The 21848-nt window shown below is 36.7% G+C and overlaps 1 protein-coding gene across 9 annotated transcripts in view; it reads right to left on the bottom strand.

The window, feature by feature from the left end:
• The window catches only part of UBE2E2 (ubiquitin conjugating enzyme E2 E2), a 388828-nt gene that overhangs the window by 352634 nt on the left and 14346 nt on the right, over nucleotides 1-21848 (bottom strand). For 2 of the 9 annotated variants that reach the window (NM_001370227.1, NM_001370228.1), the window contains exon 4: nucleotides 11183-13520. The exons of the other annotated variants lie outside the window; for them this stretch is intronic. In NM_001370227.1, the coding sequence (NP_001357156.1) occupies nucleotides 13517-13520 (4 nt within the window). In that variant the 3' untranslated portion in view covers nucleotides 11183-13516. Of the gene's footprint in view, nucleotides 1-11182; nucleotides 13521-21848 lie in introns of those variants that run through there. 9 annotated transcript variants of the gene reach the window in all.

The raw sequence follows: 21848 nt of genomic DNA, 5'->3' as shown, positions 1-21848 counted from the left end.
TAAATTATATCTCAATTTTTTTAAATGGGCAGCCTGAAGTCCTTCTTAGGGCATGAGACAAGAGTCCTATTACCTCGATAACTTAGTAGTTCCATAATTGATCACTATATTACGGTATCATAACTGAGGTTGAGAATGAGGTCCTAAACTAATAAGAAAATGTTAAACTCATACTGTTTCAAAGAAGAGGGAAATATAAAACTACTTAGAAACAAATTTTATCTCACATAAATTAAATTTAGGAACCTGAAGGTATACATTTCAGTTACTCAACAAATTCACGCATGTTCCAAAAAGGCATGACTGGATAAATTTTCCATCTTATAGAAAACTATCTTCTTTCTCCGGCTAGAGGTTGAACATTCCTAATCTGAAAAGCTGAAATCTGAAATGCTCCAAAATCAAAAACTTTCAGCACTGACATGATGCCACAAGTGGGAAACTCCACACCTAACCCCATGTGGCAGGTCCCAGTCAGATCGCAGGCACACAATACACAGTTTATTCAGCGTCCCCATGGGAGAAATAAAACTACCTTCAGGCTATGTGTATAAGGTGTGTAAGAAACATAAATGCATTTCATGTTTAGACTTAGGCCACATCCTGAAGATCGCTCATTATGAATATGCAAATATTCCAAAATTCAAATTCTGAAATCCAAAAGGCTTTTGGTCCCAAGCATCTCAGGTAAGAGATACTCAACCTGTACTTTATTAATCCTATATACTAGCTTTTAAAAAACAGCCTTTACTGATGATGGTTTCTTAAGGGGAAAATCCCACCCAACCTAACTAGTTCAACTCTCAAAGTTTTGTTCCTTTTAACTGCTACCACAGGCATGGCCTCTCCCGAACAATGTAACATTATATAACTCTTTACATTTGCACAATGCTTTAGTGTTCTAGAAGCTTTCATATACATGATCATGTATGATCCTACAAGGCAGGTGGAGTAAATCTGGTAAAGGAATGGTACTTGCTCAATTTCACAGTGGCGGATCTTGTGACAAAACTCAGGTTTTGACACTAAGGAGATGAAAGTGCTCAGCAGGCTTTTAGTGAATAAATGAACAAGACTACTAGATGAATTATCTTACTACTATACCACACTTCCTTCTATATGCTTTCCAATATTTTTCTCTAACTATTTCAAGGGAACCAGGCTTTTTTCAACAATAAAGATTATAAACTAAAGTCAAGAGGCCATATCTCATATTTATTCCAGGTCCCCACAGTTCTGAGTACTTGTGGATGGAATGATTAAAATGTCAACCTGTGAGTCCTGAATGTATTTATGGTTGTTGAGCTGCATCATCAAAAAAGACAAACTAAAGCGGAAAACACTAAAAAAAAATTTCCCCTCAAGAGTTTGTATAAGACTTTAAAACAAAATTTAAGCCCACGTTCTGAAGAAATATTAACAAATGAATTAAGACCCTGTTAGAAATTGCATTGTAAAGCATATTTTTTGGTTTAAGTAAGGCCTTATACATTTCAAAAGCTATTATTCTCCTAAACTATTGATGGTGGCAGGCCCAGCAAAGACGTAAGACCTCTACAATTCGCCTACCTGTAAGAATGAAGCAAAAGTGCCTCATACTAAGTATAATTAATGTAAAAAAATTAAAGATTTCATTTTAAGAAAAAAATGTTTTCACCAATAAACACAACCCCAATTAATGAGTGTTGTATACATGAAAAATGAATTATTTAATTTAATAATAAAAGAGTCCATGTGATCTCCAAGTGAATTTTCTAGTCATCTTCCTTTTACTAATACCAGCCCAGCTGATGAGGCTTCTACAAACAGATGAAAGGGAAAATCTTTATTAAGAGATACTGACAACCAAGCAATCTAGGGTCACACACAAGTAACAAGATACTTATATGTATGCTTACCATTTTAGAGAAAAATAAGACATGCAGAAGTTATCTGCCTTAGTAACTACATAAAAATATTTGTCTATTACATGAAACATATTAAGAAGATAATGAATAATACATTATATGCCTTCACCATTCCCAAAACAAATGAAGAAAAGAAATGCACGCAAGCCTTATAAACAGCAACAACAGCATCAACAACTAACAATTTTTGAGCCCTTATATGCCAGGCACTACTCTGAGTGCTTTACATGTATTAACTCATATAATCCTCACACAACCCCATGTGGTTTTACAGATGAAGGAACTGAGGCACTGAGAAGGTATGTAACTAACCAAGAGGCTATGTATACGTAGTCTAGCCAGTCTCTCCAAAAGAAACCACCGTGTAATACTGCCTCTAACTCAATGTAACAGGTCCCACGGGTGCGCTGGGAAGAGAAAATTACAGAATGGAAGCAGTATTTGAGCGAAGCCTTGAAGAGCAAATGAAAGAGAGAGACAAAGGACCATGCTGGTGCACATGTGTAGGAGAAGGTTTTCCATCTCTGCTACTACTATTTGGCCTCTGCACACACAAGACACAGGCAGAAGTCATGAAGAGATAGAGAGACAGGCGGTCCACACATCCACAGGAAATGTTTAAGAGTACACTTAGGCCAACGCTGGCTTTGAGGGTAGTCTTTCCTGTTCTCCAGATGTAACATTTCTGACAGCTTTCTCAACGGCAAAAATGAAGAAGAATATATGTCGACCACACTTAATTATGTGTTCCAGAGATGGGAGCTAGACACATGTAAACTGACATGCTACCAGCAATAACTTCTTCTCCTGTGAGAAATAATCTATAGTAAGAGAAAGGCAATAAATAATGATACACACTGAACAGCTATGTTCAGTCCACAGGCCAAAAAAAAAAAAAAAAGGACCTAAGAATCCTCAAAAGCATTTTTAAGTCCCAAAGCCTGACTGGACAACATTCAGACGAACAGAACTCTGCTTCTCTAAGGGAAAGCCTTCCCTCCTGAGCCCAATTATGGAGTCTGGTTGAGTAGGTAATATGAATAATCTTGCAAAATTACTGAAGAAATTACTCTTGAAATCTCAATGCCACTAAATAGTCTTTATTTACTTATTACTTTCCCGGTGAAGAAAGTAATTACAACTTTATTCTACTTTCGTATTCACTTGAAAATTTCATTAATTATTAATTTTAGATGTACTCACTAAGAACAGGGGACTCTCTTTTTCTCTCAACTTCATGGAAACCTCTCTCCTGGTTTTCCTCCTACCCCCTAGATGGCAAACTCCTTAGGACTCCTCTGCTAGCTGCTAGTTCACCCATTTCTGAATGTTACGAGGGCTTGGTTTTGAGTATTACTGTCTGTCTATATTCTTTCCACACACAAATTCATCATTTCCTACAGATTTAAATATTTCTTTGATGACAATTCAAATTGATATTTCCAGCTCTCCACTGAGCTCCAAACTCATGTTCAACTGCCTACTTGACATCTCCATTTGGATGTCTCAGACATTTCAGAATTAACACATCCAAAACAGAACTCTTGATCCTGTCCATCAAACCACTTATCTCCCAGAAATCTTCCCCATCTCAAAACAGGCACCACCATTTCCCCAACAGACTCAAACCCAACCCCATGATTTCTTTCTCTGTTCTAACAGTCCCCCTAACTCTGCCATTTACCCATCAGCAAATCCTGTCCACCTGCCTTCAAAAAACATACTTCAAATGACCCTCTTTCTATCTCCACTGCTACTGCCATAATCTATAACACCATCCTCTCTCACCTGATGACTGTCAGCATCTACTCTTTTACCCACCTCCAATCTAGCAACCAGACTGATCTTAATAAAAGCCAAACTCTGCTTGATTTGGCCACAACCTCATTCTGCCACCTCATCTTGTACAACAGCATTCCCCTGCCCACTCCCCACTCCCCCTCAATCCAGCCACACCAGACTTCTTCCAGCTAGCTCCCTGAACATCAGAGCTATCTGCTTTCGAGCTTCAGCACATGCAGTTTGTAATACTAATGGTCCCCCACACCTTATGTACCTAACAACTTTTTGCTCTCAATTAAGATTTCACCTCCTTAGAAAAGCTTTCTCAACCCAAAATAAAACTAGAACCCCACACTAAAACTCATCCCTGGTTTTCTTCATAGCAATTATGATGTCTGTTTACTTCCCCAGCTCATCATAAAGGCAATTTTTCTGTTTTGTTTTGTTTTTAAACAAGTTCCAGTCTGTCTTCACAGCTAAAACATAAGCTCTACAAAGGCTGGAGATGCCTTCCATCTTGTTCATAATTGCATCCCCAGTATACAGCACAGTGCTGATCACATATTGGCCCTTAGAAAATATTTAATGTTAAATGAATGTTAACCTCAAAATGTATCTTAGCTTATCTCATTTCACTTAACCTAGTAGGAGATATTTTCTGAACACATCAGCGCCTGACATTCTTTCAAAAATATAATTTTATCTGCTATTTCCCAGGCCCCCAATACCATTTTGAACCTATCCACAGATTTCCCTATTAATTTCTGACTAGCTGCTTTATCAAACATGGAGACTATTCTTAACCTGTGACAAACTCTTACCGCTTAACAACATGATAACATGTATCCAACCCTAATTCAAGCTTAACTCTAATAAACACTTAGAAAGAGACATTTATTCTAAGCCATTAGAGATTAGTACAGCAAGAGACTGCCCCCTACCTCCTTCCCAAGCCTCCAAAAGACTATGGAGCATCAATCCCAACCACCCCCACTGTATCTAACTTATAAAGTCAATGCTGTCAACACGTAAATATCGATTTAAGCCTACCTAATCTCTTACCTAGGAAAGTGTGCTTACTAAAATGCAGGCTCTATTTTCTAAATTAATCAAAACTCTCCAGCTGGATTCCCAGCTGATGGGGCTGACCATGGAGGAGCTGAAGGTCAATGAGTGAATTTGAATGTATGTGTCCAACTGAACATCAATCTCTGACTACCTTCCACACAGAAAACTAAAGATCTGCTCAACCAAAATTTACCAAAATCTCTAAAGTCCAGTCAGGAGTCCCCAGCTGGCTGATTACAAAGCTGCACTCAGTTTGGTCATGTCCCACTCCAAACACCTCACTTCTCAAAATGATGGCAAACTGGAGAATAAAAAAAGAAAGAAAAAAAAAAAAGGGCACAGAGAATGATGACAGAAACCATGTGCAACACTCTTTCTCTGTACAGAGATTTTGTCAGCAACCAGTTCACCAACCCACACCCAAGTAAGCTCAAAAATCATGAGATCTGTTTAACAGCTTTTCCCCCTGACCTCAAAGTTAAGATACATCTGGCCAATACATAATTTGAAGAAGGAAAAAAAATCAATTTAGGATAATTGACATTTGATAATTTTGATAAATATTTACCAAACATTTTATAACACTTATATTTACACATTTGATAGAAGCTATTTAAACCCTGAATTTAGTATTTCAAACACTCTGTCCATTATAATATATTCAAAATACCATCTGTGATTCATATCCCATGAATATGTAGTTTTTTAAATACTACATATTTTCACCTTATACTACATAGTAAACTATTAATTTCCCATTAATGCAGATAATCAAGAACTGAGTAAGTCTGCTACTTAAATATTGGAGGCTACTTCTAATGTTCTCTTTGGGGTCCATTTTACCTTTTAGGCAAAACTTATAATGAGGTTCTTTTGTTATTATAATATTAATAACTAAAGCCACTTGGAGATCATCCAAGCCATGTGGGTAGTCCCAGAAGTGCCTTATAACCAAATTTAGAGTAAAATGCATAAGGTTTTGTTCCAATGTTTAGGATATCATCCAAAAAACAAAGTGTCTATTATATAAACTCTAAAAATTTCCAAAGGGTTTTACATTAATGCAACAAAACAGTAAACTGAATTCCTTTGTTCACCCCCTCTTAAAATGCAAATTTATCTATTCTATTCCACCCACTTCAGATCTCAGGGGTTTGCAAAGTAGGACCATAACACTGTTTAATATCATTTATGAACCGTGCTATTACAGAGCATTTACTGAAGTGATGTACAACAGCTTTGATAAGAATGCAAATATTTTACCTTAAACTAAAAAGACTGATACTATTCCTGTCCAATCCTGCCCCACCTTAGTCAAGGGAGCCTGATTCTCAAACTCTTACAGTCCTACTTTCTCACATTTTCTAAACCATCTCACTTTTCCCCTACAGGCTCAGGCTATTGCCAACTCCCTCACTCCACTGCACCCCTACAGTCTCCCTTACTCACCAACTAACCAGCCACCTAGAATCCAAAGACTGCAAATGCAGGGCTACATTCGCCTGCTAACTTGAGCCTGACACCAAAATGTTCATGCTTAAAGCAATGGGCTGTGCCACTCTTAGGAAACTGCCCTACCTTCAGGCAAAGATTTCCCTTCAGCACTTGCAGCTGAATCTGTCACCTTCTTCCAGTTCACCACTTGCATGTTGGTCTCAAATCATTCTACTCTAATAAACTGTGCCACAGAATAGTGCCTTTGCCTATACACATGATGGTCATCTTTTCGTAGGATTGGACGAAGTTTTTAAATAATTGTCTCTTAATCGATTATAAATGAAACAATGTATGCGCAAAGAGCAAAAATGATTTCTTCAGTGTATTCTATCATTTAAAATCTTTTAAAAACTTTTACTTCTCTTTTAATCCTAAGATTTCTCGGCTCATGCAACATTTATATGTAGGAAGGAAAACACATCCCAAATAAACCATAACTTTTCTTCACTAACATTTATTCAATTTTTGAGGATGCAAGTATTATTTTTTCCAGGACCAAAAGAAAGAGGGGGAAATCAGGAGGATTCTAAACAGTTTGTTACACAGTTTGATAAATTTGAAGGGGTATATACTAAACAAATGAATAATCAAAAGATTTCCATTAGATGATGAACTCAATGTATGTTAACATTTGATTAACAGTAATATTTTTATTTCTTGACTACGTCAGGTAAAAGGTATTTATGAAACAACATGCAATAATCTGAGACCTAGCAAAGTGATGGATATTTTGAAATAGTATTTGTTCTTCAACCCCGTTTTCCTGGCATACAACTCCTAAAATCCTTGGAATGTACAAAGTGATGTCTTTTGGTATGCCAAGACTGATGGCTGGCTGGCAGCCCTTAGGCAGCTTCAGGATAGAGGCTGGTTGCCAGAAGAAAGACCAAAGCATGATTAGAGGGTTTAACCTTACCCTTCAACTTCCAGGGTGGAGAGGGGACTGAAGCTTAAGATCATAGCCACTGGCCAACGATTTAATCAATCATGCCTAAGTAATAAGGTCTCCATAAGAGGTCCAATAAGGACAGGGTCAGCAGGGCTTCCAGACAGCTGAACACATGGAGGCTGACGTAAAGGTGAACAAGAACTCATCCAGGTGCCAGGAGGGTAGCATACTCCACTTCCATGGGTAGAGAAGCTCCTGTGCTCAGGATCCTTCCAGACCTCAACCTATATATCTTTTCATCTGGCTGTTTACTTGTATCCTTTTAAAATATCCTTTGTAATATACCGGCAAACATGGTTCCCTGAGTTCTGTGAGCACTCTAGTTAATCAAACAAACCCAAAGATGGGGTTTGCAAGAACCCTAATTTGAAGCAAGTCAGTCAGACGTTCCAAGAGGCCTGGACTTGTGACTGGTAGGAAGAAGGATACAATCTTTTGGGACTAAGCCCTCAATCTGTAGTTTCTGAGTCTACCTCCAGGTAGAGAGTGTCAGAATTGAATTTGTGGACACTGATTCAATTGCTTGATGATTTCAAGAACTGATTGCTTGCTTGGTGTATGAAGAGAAACCCCCAAACATCTGGCTACAGAAGTCTTGTGTTGACTATTGTTTAATAAGAAAAATTTTAAAAGCGTCCTGAGTTTGTGTTGTTTTCTACCCCACACACAATCCCTATCCTCAAACCAGACTCATTTATTCATGTTCTTCCTATAGCCTCCTCTTCCTACAAATCTAAGTTTTGAGGAAAGAAGGAAATAAAAGCCTCACTAACCAACTAAGATGTGGAACTGATAGCAAGTATACAAGCTGCTTTAAGTGGGCCAATGAAGTATATAAATTACCTACCACTGGTTTCAAGAGGGCAAAGAGAGGAAAAATGAGTCACAATCTATGGGTGAAGAGGACAAAAGCTGATAAAAATCTGCTTCATTTGTTTAGGGTCCAGAATCTGGGAAATATAATTCTAGTACTACCATCACCCATCTAATAACTGAAAATCTCTCTGAAATAAGCAAATAAATTCATTTTCAGTTCCTCTAAAGGTAGAGCTCTCATTATGTACTGATGTCTCCCATTATTTCTCTAGAAAGCCCTGGCTGAAGATGAAGGCTTTTATCAAGCAAAAAAAGTGGTTTCCCTCTAACTTTAACAGAGCAGCGCTAGTTCTACTCCCCAAAATCACACAGAATAAGCTTAATAAAGAATGTTAAGGCTCTGAAAACAGTTCATCACTGCTGTCATGACCCTTCACCTCTCCAGGAAAAATAAATCCAACTCTTTTTTTTTTTTTTTTTCTTTTTGAGAAGGAGTTTCGCTCTTGCTGCCCAGGCTAGGGTGCAATGGTGCAATCTCAGCTCACTGCAACCTCTGCCTCCCAGGTTCAAGTGATTCTCCTGCCTCAGCCTCCTGAGTAGCTGGGATTACAAGTACCCACCACCAAGCCGGGCTAATTTTTTGTATTTTTAGTAGAGACGGGGTTTCACCATGTTCGTCAGGCTGGTCTCAAACTGCTGACCTCAAATGATCCACCCGCCTCGGCCTCCCAAAGTGCTGGGATTATAGGCATGAGCCCCTGCGCCCAGCCAACTCTTCTCCAATGTACCTCATGATCATGGATAAGAACTCCCAATTTTCCTTATTTATGAGTTTTCTAAATTCTCTAAGTTTATAAAATGCATCCACATTCTATCAGTGAAATAAGCAACACATTGAACTATCGGGACTGAATACTAGTCCTGGTTTTGCTTTTAAACTCCACATCCTTGAGGAAGTCCTATTTCTCTCTCTGGGCTGCAGACACTGCTGAACCATAAACTTTCCAGTTTCAGTAGCCTCACAGTCTGTATTAAAAACAATCATTTGCAATATTGCTTTCATTTTGATAAGAAATTTAAAATAAATATCTAACCAATTAATAGAACTGACAAAGGTATTTTACTTAAATTGTCTCCCACAATATTTAAGAGTCCTTAGAATATAATGGTGGATAGCAGAGGGGAGATAAATAAATATATACTACAAGTAGTTACGTAGTATGTAGTTATGTATATATGTATTTATACACATACACAACATAAATACCTAACTACAAGCACCATCAAAATGACCTCGTAGTTTACTCTTACCCAATATAAACATAAGTTTAAGCATATACTTATAAGTTTAACCTTAAAAAGCTATTTTTCTAGATCTATGCTGTCCAATATAGTAGCCTCAAGTCACATATTGGTATCTAAATTAAAATTAAAAATCAGTTATTTAGTTGCACTAGTCACCTTTCAAATACTCGATGTCCACATATGGCTAGTGGCCACTGTACTGGACAGGGCAGATAAGGAACAGGTCTATCATAACAGAAAGTCCTACTGGGACAGTGCTGTTCTAGAGCAGTTCACCTAAATCTGTTTTGCAAATGGAAACAGAAAAGCAAGACCTCAAAACACTTGAGCTCTGAAGTCAGAAACAAGGTTGAAATCCTAGTTCTGCCATTTACTTGCTATGTGACCTTCAGCAAGTTAGTTACTTAACCCTTCCAAGCCTGTCTTCCCATCTATAAAATGCTGTACAAAACTACTACCCACCTCAACTCAAAAGCATAAGAATGACACAACAGACTTTGGGGACTCAGGGGGAAAGGGTGGGAAGAGGGTGAGGGATAAAAGACTTCAAACTGGGTTCAGTGTATACTGTTCAGGAGATGGGTGCACCAAAATCTCACAAATCACCACTGAAGAATTTACTCATGTAACCAAATACCACCTGTTCCCCAAAAAACCTATGGAAATAAAAAACTTAAAATAAATAATAAAACTACTGTCACCTCAAAGACAGTTGTAAAGATTACACGAGATAATGCTGGTAAAGCATTTAGCACACTGCTTCAAATACTGGAAACATTCAATAGCTGTTAGCTCCCTACTATAATTAATTATATTTACTAATTCACAGATATACTGAACTGAATGCTACCTGAAATGCAGGGATTAAAGAAAGAGCTCTTGCCAGACTGGGTGAAACGGGTAAAAGAGTTGTAATCTGAAGCATCAGGAGAAGTGATGGTAGCGGAATGTTGGGAGGGGGATGCTGGATTCAAGGTGGAGGAAAAATGGTCGATACTCAGGCAGAAATCTTGGCTCTGGTGTAAGAGTTCTGCCTCTCCTTTGGTCATTTCAAATTATTACTAGGCCTCATCTTCCAAATAGGCGAAAGTGTGTGGAGAGAGTCTACCTGCTGTGTATTGAAGTAGAAAATGAATTTTAGCTTATGGCTTTGCCTGATTCTATTAAACGTTTTAGAAGAAAGTGCTGCCTCTACACAAATACGGATTGAGATATACCCTTAAAGGCATCTCATTAGGTCCCTAAAGTATGTAGACATTCTGAAGAATGTAGACAGTTCTAAATGAACATTTATTTAGAAACATAGCCCAAAAAGCAAACTGACAACAAAAATGCAAAAATCAAATTTTACACTGTCTTAAAATATACTAAAAAATTTTATTTGTTTGCAATAAAGCTTAGTTGATTAATTGTAAATCAACGAGCATAATAATCACCGTAAAGAAATTTGGATACATGAAAGAATACAGTTTCAGGATATCTTAAAAGATAAAAGGGGTATGGGAATTAAAATATTACATGTTGGAGAGTAATATGACACTTCCTATCTCTAAAGTGCTTAGTTAATAAATCTGAAATAATAACTAGATATAAAGCTGGGCAAACTCAATAATAAAATGTTCTGTTGCTATTATAAAATACAGTCCCAGTGTGACCATTTAATATATATTTTTCAGACACATTATTTTATCGTTTTTAAAGCAGTAAAGAATTTAAAAAAAATTCAAAGACCAGAAATAATGGGCACTAAACTCACTTTACCATTCAACATTTTCTTTTATTAGCAAATAAATATTTTTAAAGCTATGATTAAAGGCAGACTTAAAACAATAACATTTTGAAATAACAAAGCAAAGAATTTTTCTCATGGTGATTTTATTGAGACAGTTGTCTTCCCTTAATACAGTTTTGAAGTACAGGTACATGACAGCAAACTATTATACATAAAGTTCCCCATTTGAAATAACAAGCAGCCAGCCTTTTAAAGCCCTATATTGGTTGTACCTCAGGTGAAAAGACAGCCTCAAGGTAAAGGCAAAAAGAAAACATACTCTTGGCAGTAATGAAGGAGCTCATCTTAAAAATTATAAAAGGAAGTACAGAAATGAGAATATAAACAAGCTTGAAACTCTTGAAATTCTGAACTGCCAATGGAACATAAGGCAAGACCATGCTCCCTCACTCCCTCTCACACAGTACACATAGCCCAACTCTGCAGCTATCCCACCTGCAGGTGCTATTCCATTCTTGTTAACTGTTCTAGTCACTTAGTACACGCATTTCCAATGTTATTTAAAGTTTTTTGTCTTCAAAAAGTCTATCCAAAACCACTCAACACTGTAGCAACTGAGTCAAGAACTCACAGGATTGAATTAAAAATATTCCTCAATTACCTGTTTTAGATAAAGGAAAAAGAGATGGATACAAATAATTCAGTACCCTAAATAAATAACATAGGTCCTCAATGTATATTTAAATTTTATCATGTTAATAACTCCTCTTAAAAACTATGCCAGCATTTTGCTAACCAATACACATTCACATAAACTTTCAGTTATTCACATTGTACGTTTACCAATAATATGCCTCCCTCGAAAAGACTCTGAGCTGGCTGACAAAAATATATGTAGTATGAAAGTACAAATGAAGATATGGATATAAAAGAGGGAAAAGGGTAGAAAAATCAAATACAACCAGAGAGTTGAGGTTTCTACACAAAATGCAATTAATTACTAAAACTGAGGAGCAAATAAGGCTATGAGTTTCCAGGCAGCCAAACTAAATAAAGAGGGATGTATTATCAATTTTAAGATCCGTAGAGGCCATAGAGACAAATCCACTTCTGCCAATAGTATCACCATTCTAGTCTACAAATATCACACTCTTTAAAGTCATCCTCGACATCATTAATTTTGTCTCTCAAAACCACACCATCAACAAGGTGGGCCAGTTCAAAAACGTCTCCCATTTCCACTGCCTTTTTTTTTTTTTTTTTGGTCTTCATGGTATCACATCACCAGGTCTTATATAACTTGAACCTGTATTCATGCAACACTTTTCTTACTGGATTCCCAAACTCTTTATATCTTTCTCCACTCCATATTACAAATTAATTTCTATGACACAATTTTTTTAAATCAAAACTTCAATTTCACTCTCTTTTACTCAGTATTTAAACCTCAAACTACAGCAACTGGTAATTTTAACACCCTTCCTAGAAAGTCCTAACAAATCTTACCTCCCACATGGGAAGGAGGGCCAACCTGTTAAACTCACTGTCCCAAGAATAACTATACTAAATTCTCCCCTTTTATGTTTCTGCTCTCATTCATTCTCTTACGTAAAGCCATCCCTATTTCCTTTTACCTTTCCAAATCCCACCCATTCTTCAAAGCCAAGTTCACATCCCTCCTTAAAGATGTTTTCCTGGCCGGGCGCAGTGGCTCACACCTGTAATTCCAACACTTTGGGAGGCTCAGGCAACCTTGAACAAGTTACTTAATGTTAGGAGTTTCAGAAAGTGGTTGAAAAGACTAAATGACATCACATACAGAAATCCTTCAAAAGTTAAAAACTGCTGTACAAATATTACAATAAGCAGAGAAGAAAAATAATTAGTGACAATAATTAGATTTTGCATTGGTTGTTCTTTGTAGAGATCACGCATACAGACATTGTTTCTAATTTCTGTCTCAATACCTTCCTATTCTATAATTTCAAAAAATAACCCCCACACACACTTTCCCTACATACCATTTTAGTTACTATGATGTGGAAAATACACTTTTCGGCCAGGCGCAGTGGCTCACACCTGTAAACCCAGCACTTTAGGAGGCCAAGGAGGGCAGATCACTTGGGATCAGGAGTTCGAGACCAGTCTGGCCAACATGGTGAAACCCGTCTCTACTAAAAGTACAAACATTAGCCATGCATGGTGGCATGCGCCTGTAGTTCCAGCTACTCAGAAGGCTCAGGCAAGAGAATTGCTTGAACCTGGGAGGCGGAGGTTGCAGTGGGCTGGTATGGTGCCACTGCACTCCAGTCTGGGCAACAGAGCAAGACTCTGTCTCAAAAACAAAAACAAAAAAAAAAAACACTTTCTTCTATAAAATGGCTCCCATGAGTAGTAAAATGACACAGTAGTTAGGTTTATGTCCAGTCACAGCCTCTTCCCATTTCCACTGGGAATGCCTTACCTAATGAGTTAAGACAATGAAAAAAGTAAACCAGTTAGAATACTTACACTTTCTGATTTAAAACTCAGTAAAACTATAGTAATAAAGACAGTATGTTACTGACATAAGAACAGACATACAGACCAATGGAACCAAATTGAGAATTCAGCAATAAATCTTCACATTTATGATCCACTGATTTCCAACAAGGGTATCAAGACAATTCAGTGTAAAAAATAGTCTTTTCAACGAATGGTGCTGGGACACTGGGTCTACACAAGCCAAAAGGAATGAAATTGGACTCTAATCTCATACCACATACAAAAATTAACTGAAAAAGGATCAGAAACCAAAATGTAAAAGCTAAAACTGTAAAATTCTTAGGAAAAAATACAGATGTAAATCTTCGTGGTCTTGGATTAGGCAATGGTTTCTAAGATATGACACCAAATGCACAAACAACAAAAGAAAAAACAGATATTTAGACTTCACAAAAAGCAAAAACTTCTATGTTTCAAAGGTCATTATCAAGAAAGTAAAAAAAAAAAAATCCACAGAATGGAGGAAGATAGTTGCAAATTATATATCTGATGTACAGGACTTATATCCAAAATGTATTTTGAAAAAACTCTTACAATTCAACAATAAAACGACAAGTCATTAAAAAATGGAGCAGGATTTGAACTAACATTTCTCCAAAGAAGATAAACAAATGGACAATAAGCACATGAAAAGATGCTCATCCATCATCCATCAGAATAATGCAAATCAATACCACAACAAAATACCACTTCATATCTACTAGGATAGCTATCATTAAAAAAAAAAAAAGGACAACATCAAGTGCTGCCAAAGTTGTGGAGAAAAACTGGGCCCTCATACACTGCTGGCAGGAAACACAGACTTACTATATAACCCAGCAATTCCACTGCTAGGTACATATCTAAGAGAAATGAAAACAAATGTCTACCCAAAAACCTGTACATAAATGTTCATAACAGCATTATTCATAGTAGCAAAAAAGTGGAAACAATATAAATATCCATCAATTGATGAGAAGAAAAATAAAATGTGGTATATCCATAAAAATGGAAGTTTATTTGGTAACAAGTAGGAACAAAGGCCAGAGCAATTAGGCAAGAGAAAAGAAATAAAGGGCATCCAAACTGTAAAGGAAAAAGTCAAATCAGCCTTGTTCCCAGATTACGTGATGTTAAAACCTAAAGACTCTACCAAAAAAAAAAAGCTGTTAGAACTGTCAAGAAATTCAGCAAAGTTGTAGAATGCAAAATCAACACACAAAAATCAGTGGCATTTATATATGTCAACAGCAAATAACCTGAAAAAAATCAAGAAAGCAATCCTATTTACAATAGCTACAAAAATTATAAAATGCCTAGGAATCAATCTAACAAAAGAAGTGAAAGACTCATACAAAGAAAACTATAAAACTGATGAAATAAATAGGACACCAAAAAAATGGAAAGGTATTCTATGTTCATGGATTAGAAGAACTATAACAATATTTTTAAATGACAAGACTACCCAAAGCAATTTACAGATTCAATACAATCCTTATCAAAATACCAATAACATTCTTCACAGAAATAGTAAAAAAAAAAAAAAAAAAAAAAAACCTAAAATTTACATGGAACCACAAGACTATGAATAGCCAAAGCAATCCTGAGCAAAAAGAATGAAGCTGGAGGCATCACACTACCTGACTTCAAAATTTATTACAAAGCTATAGTAATCAAAACAGCATGGTACTGGCATAAAAACAGACACATGGATCAGTGAAACAGATGAGAGAACTCAGGTATAAATCCACGCATTTACAGCCACCTTATCTTTGACAAAGGCATCAATAACACGCAATGGGAAAAGGAGAGTCTTTTCAATAAATGGTGCTGGGAAAACTGGATAACTATATATGAAGAATGAAACTAAACCCCTATCTCTCACCATACACAAAAAAAATCAAACCAAAATGGATTAAAGACTTGAATCTAAGACCTGAAACACTACAGCACAATGGTCTGGGCAAAGATTTCTTGTGTAAGATCTCAAAAGCACAGGCAACCAAAGCAAAAATATACAACTGGGATTACATCAACCTAAAAAGCTTCTGCACAGCAAAGGAAACAATCAACAAAGTGAAGAGACAACACACAGAATGGGAGAAAATATTTGCAAACTATCTATCTGACAAGGGACAAGGGATTAGTAACCAGAATATGTAAAGAGTTCAAACAACTTGACAGCAAATATATATATATAATCCAATTTAAAACAGGCAAAAGGGCCAAGCGCAGCTCACGCCTGTAATACTAGCACTTTGGGAGGCCAAGGCAGGAGGATCACTTGAGGTCAGGAGTTTGAGACCAGCCCGGCCAACACGGTAAAACCCCATCTCTACTCAAAATACAAAAATTAGCCAAGTGTGGTGGTGCATGCCTCTAATCCCAGTTATTCAGGAGGCTGAGGCAGAAGAATCACTTGAACCTGGGAGGCAGTGGTTGCAGTGAGCCAAGATCATGCCACTGCACTCCAGCCTGGGTGACACAGTGAGTCTCCATCTCAAAAAAAAAAAAAAAATACAAAAATCAGCTGAGCATGGTGGCATGTACCTGTAGTCTCAGCTACTCAGGAGGCTGAAGCAGGAGAATCACTTGAACCCAGGAGGCAGAGGTTACAGTGAGCAGAGATCACGCCACTGCACTCCAGCCTGAGTGACAGAGAGAGACAACTCAAAAAAAAAAAAAAAGGGGGGGGGGGCAAAAGATGTAAACAGACATTTCTCAAAAGAAGACATGCAAATGGCCAAAGGGTACATTAAAAAATGCTCAACATTGCTACAATGCAATATCTCACTGAGGTTAAAAAGGCTTAGATCAAACAGACGGCAATAGCGGATGCTGGCAAGGATGCGGAGAAAGGGGAAGGCTCGTACACTGTTGTTGGGATGTAAATTAGTACAGCCACTATGGAGAACAGTACAAAGGTTACTTACAAAACTAAAAACAGAACTTCCATATGATCCAGCAATTCCTATACTGGGTATATATATTTATATATTAGTCCATTTTCACGCTGCCCATAAAGACATACCTGAGACTGGGCAATTTACAAAAAGACGTTTAATGGACTCATGGTTCCACCTGGCTTGAGAGGCCTCACAATTATGGTGAAGGTGAAAGGTACGCATCACATGGTGGCAGACAAGAGAAGAATGAGAGCCAAGTAAAAGGGGTTTCCCCTTATAAAACCATCAGATCTCGTGAGACTTATTCATTACCACAAGAACAGTATGGGGGATACCACCCCCATGATTCAATTATCTCCCGCCAGTCCCTCCCACAACACGTGGGAATTATGGGAGCTACAATTCAAGATGAGATTTGGGTGGGGACATTGCCAAAGCATATCAGTATATATCAAAAAGAAAGGAGATTAATGTATCAAAGAGATATCTGCACCTCCATGTTTACCCAAGTACCATTCACAATAGCTAAAATATGGAACCAACCTGAGTGCCCATTAACAAATGAATGAATAAAGAAAATGTGGTATATACACACAATGGAATATTTAATTCAACCATAAAAAAGAATGAAATCCTGTCATGTGCAGCAACATGGATGGAACCACAGGCAAGGTTAAGTGAAATAAGCCCAGCAGAGAATGACAAATGTCACATGTTCTCACTCTTACATGAGAGCTAAAAATGTAGATCTCAAAAATAGAGAGTAGACTGGTAGTTACCAGAGGCCAGGAAGGGGAGTGGGGGGATCAAGAGGAAAAAAAGAATATAAATATATAAATGTATATTCACTGAACTTTACACTAAAAATGGTAAAGATGGTAAATCATGTATGTATATTTTACCTCAATTAAAAATATTTTTAAAAAAGAAATACTTGGGTAATCAAGTTCAAGACCAGCCTGGCCAACACGGTGAAACCCCGTCTCTACTAAAAATACAAAAATTAGCCAGGCATGGTGGCGCACGCCTGTAATTCCAGCTACTCGGGAAGCTGACCCAGGAGAATCGCTTGAATCCAGGAGGTGGAGCTTGCAGGGAGCCAAGATCACGCCATTGCACTCTAGTTTGGGCGACAAGAGCGAAACTCCGTCTCAGAAAAAAAAAAGAAGTACTAACGCATGCAGCAACATGGATGAACCTTGAAAATATTACACTTTGTAAAAAAAATTTTAAAAGCCAGACACAAAAAGCACACAAGATTTCATTTATACAAAATGTCCAGATAAGGCAAATCTATAGAAACAGAAAGTAGACTAATTGCTGCCGAGGGCTGGTGGTGAAAGAGCTGGGGGAAAATGGGGAAGGAGTGACTGCTAAAAGGCATGGATTATTTTTTGGGAGGTATCAAAATATTGCAAAACAGACTGTGATGATTACAAAACTCCGAGACTATACTAAAAACCTAAAAGTATAAGTGAATTTTACACTTTATATCTCAATAAAGCTGTTATCAAATAAAAGACAAAATTAAAAAGCAGCGCCAGTGTTCCATGAGCAGATTCTTGAAACACATAGAAATAGAAGTGTAAACTGCTAGTATAACTACATCCTCTTTTTTGGTTTACTTCCTCCTTTTACTTGTTCAATTACTAGACCAAAAATCAAAATCCAAATAAATCATTTTACCTTAGTCTTTTCTTCCAAAAAGTAATAAGGATTCTCTGTCATTCCCCTGCTCGTAAACCTAATACAAACTTTAGCAGTAGCAGATCATAATAGCATTTGAACAAGTTAGCTTCTCTGTGATACAGAGGAGCAAGTTATCCTTTGGATGATGACGATTTTAATTTTAATTTTTATCTGGAGATTTGCTGGCCCACTAGCTGCCAGTTCTCCACTAGCACCGAGGAAGTATAAATGAACACACTGACATGCACAGATCTAAGATCTTGCTTTTAACAATTTGTGAAGAACTGTGAAAGTTACAACCTGTAGTCATTTATAAGGGGCAGTGAATCTACCTGTTAGAGGTCTGTAAGGATAAAGCATCAATTTGACCCACTCTATCCATCTAAGCTGGTGTGCAAGGCACCAAGGTAACGAGCAATTCTAACCAACTGCCCAGCACCTCTAACTCAGCAGTAGTATGAAAACATTTATTGATCAGTGGATCTGTGAAGGCCTCAGGATAGAACCCTTGCAAATGTCATGGGTCAGTTATGTTAGCCAACATGACAGTTAAGGCCAAGAAAAATATATTCCACTACTTATAGGAAATACTCTAAGCATATACCAAATTTCACTCAAATGAAGTGTAATTTTCTATGCCTATGGCCCTACAGACGCTACGATTTTATGAGCAGAAATTTTTTCTTAGCTATAAAGTTTTGTTTTAAAATATTTACCCATTAAACTGTGAGTAATGTTTTTAAAAAGGATGACATATTTAACCCAACTTCAAAAATAAAACTATCTTACTGCATTTTTACTTCAAAGACAACAATAAAGTGAGAAAAAACTGAAATATGTAGAGGCAAATATCTCCTACATGAAATAATTCAATCTATTAAATCATTTGTAGGTGTTCTTTAAAATAATATTTGTTTATTCAAAACCTGAAAAAAAATTAACCAATACTATATTAGAATAACTTCCTCTAAAAATGCCTTACATAAAACTTTATCTACACTGAATGCTGTGATTCGGGGTGACTTGATAGTCTCAACTTCTTTAAATAACAGATTTGCACAACGCTTAAACACATACAGTTCCTTCAATATGATTCCAAAAGAAGCTTAACTAGATATCACCTAAGAGATGCACCAAAATTCAGAGGTTCCATCTAACCTGACAAACACACAGTATTGGGTTGTCTGTTAAGGTTCCCGAAAATAGGATAAACCACACTCAAAGTGGAATGTGACACACACCCACCCCTACCCAGACAACCAGTAGAAAAAATCGTTCTCCACTCTCTGACTAAACAGGTAAAACCCACAGATGTTCCCTCACATATAATCTTTACATGTGATAGCAGACTAACAACTACCCAGGGAACCAAAAGGCAGGGTTTTGAGAGGCATGTGTGATAGGAGAGGTAATCCACAAAGGGAGCAGAGTAAGGGGATGCTTTCTTCTGAAATGAGATATGACTTAACTGATTAAGTAAAGGACTCTGACTTCTATTAGGCAGATAACTTTAATTTGCTCTATTTTGATAAATTAATCCATTACAGTCATTAGGCCAATGCAGGCAGTGCAGAACTTGTAAAAATCAACCACAAAAGCACTGTTAACTTTGACCAAAAATAAGCCAAACTAACACTGCAATCTAATCTCTTTCTGAAGATGGTAACCACATTTTCACCGAAATACAGATGGGCAGATTAACTACAAACCACAACCAAATATTTGACACCAAACAGTCCAAAGACCACAGTGATGCACTTAATAAGCACACCAAACATCCATATTAAGTAACACAAGCACACTGATAAGTGTTGATTAACCAGTTTTACATTTTCTATCAGCTACAGCACAGAGGACCCTTTGCTTGCCAAAGGGAGTGCCATACGAAGGTAAATAACCTTTCTCTCTGCCTGACCCAGTCCAAGCAACTGTTTTAGAATCAATAAAAGGAGCCAAAGCCACTGCACTGCAGACCTAGCTTCTAAAGCAAACTTATCAGCTATCCAATCCTCAGCCCACAAGTGAGAATTTCCTTACAAATTCCCAAGTCAGAAAATTAACTAAAGTAGATATCTTCCCTGAAACTGTTTGAAGGGCTTATTATGTGTGACTTCTACATTTAAAAATTAAAACCTGTAATACACATTTTGCTCTATTTATGAAGAGCTTACATATGAACTAGTAATGATGTCACTAAGGCTCAAAGACAAAGTAAACCTCCAAATTTCAGATGACACTATAGTTAAACGTTTCTTTTACTTTTAATAGAACTATGGTTCAATTATTTGTTTATTTAAATAATAACCTTTATATAGTTCCTTTCCCCATTTATCTAATAGCAAAATTGCAGTCTACATCACATGATACTGTATGTGGATTTCATTTATTAAAAATGAGCCTTAAACAAACTTATTAAAACAAAGTTGTTTATTTTGCCGGTGATTGGGGTTGTCAAAATTTAAGCAAAGAAGTGTATAAAGTTCACTTATTTATCAGTTCAATTGTTCATAAAAAAGGTTACAAAAATAATATATGTAATATATTAATAATATGGGTTTTTTAAAGATTCAGACCATTAAAACAAATATTATCCTAAGAAACAAAGGATGTTAGGTTTAATTCAAACTGGGGTTTTTCCACAAATCCATCCACTTATAATCATTGACCACCAAAAGCTAAACAATGATCTGCCATCTGAAACGGCTTTGATGTAATACAGTCCTAAGAGTGACAAAAAGTCTTAGGTTAAACGGTTTTACCTAACAAAGAAATATTTGTTCTATTTGAGTGAAACATTCTTTGAATATTATTACTGTAAGTTTATAAACTGTACATGATTCATTTGAAGAACCATATTAGATTCACCACAAAGTAAGTCCTATTAGAATTTTTCCTACACAAAATTGTTATCTTTGTTTTTACATAAAAGTAAGATCAGTAAACTCAGAAATCATACCAAGCAATAAATTCTACCTGCGTTCAACGTTGGGAAAATTTTTATTTAATCGGCCCTCTCACCTTCAATGCATAAGATTATCATTTTAAACCAGAAAAACTCCAGGTTGGCCTGGTTCCAATGCTGATCTCATCTCAAAACAGAAATAAGTGTCTTAAAAATAACCAAACAGCCATCTTCTAACTACTGCACCAGACCCAAAGCAGCAGCATAAGGTAAGAGGTTATTTTTCTCCTCTTTGTCCATGTATCTTTATAACATTAACCATTTCCAGGTAAGCACTTTTCTTTCCTAAAAGTAAACACTGACCAGAAAATTCGAGGTCATGATCATAAAGGGAGAGAGAGTTTTACATTTAACATCATTGCCTCAAATCACCCATTCTTACCTAGTCACAACCAATGACGACAAGAAATAATGTAAACCATGAAGAAACACTGTTTAATGTGTCTGCATTTTTAAAAATCAAATTCCAACAAGATAACAATACAACATAGCACATATTTTAGCCATGCTATTATTCTATCATTAAAAAAACCACTTAAGGCCCTAACACCTCTTCCACTAAAATGTCATAGTGTATTTGTTACCCTATAATTTCATTGTCTTACTGTTATTGCATTACACTACTTTTGGCAACTCCGTTCAACCACTACAAACATACTTGCTGAACATTCCATTTCTGCACAGAGATGACAAAAACCATTGTCTTCCACAG

This window comes from Homo sapiens, chromosome 3, assembly GCF_000001405.40.
Source record: "Homo sapiens chromosome 3, GRCh38.p14 Primary Assembly".
Taxonomy (NCBI): domain Eukaryota; kingdom Metazoa; phylum Chordata; class Mammalia; order Primates; family Hominidae; genus Homo; species Homo sapiens.
This window is presented reverse-complemented; position numbering and strand designations above follow the sequence as displayed.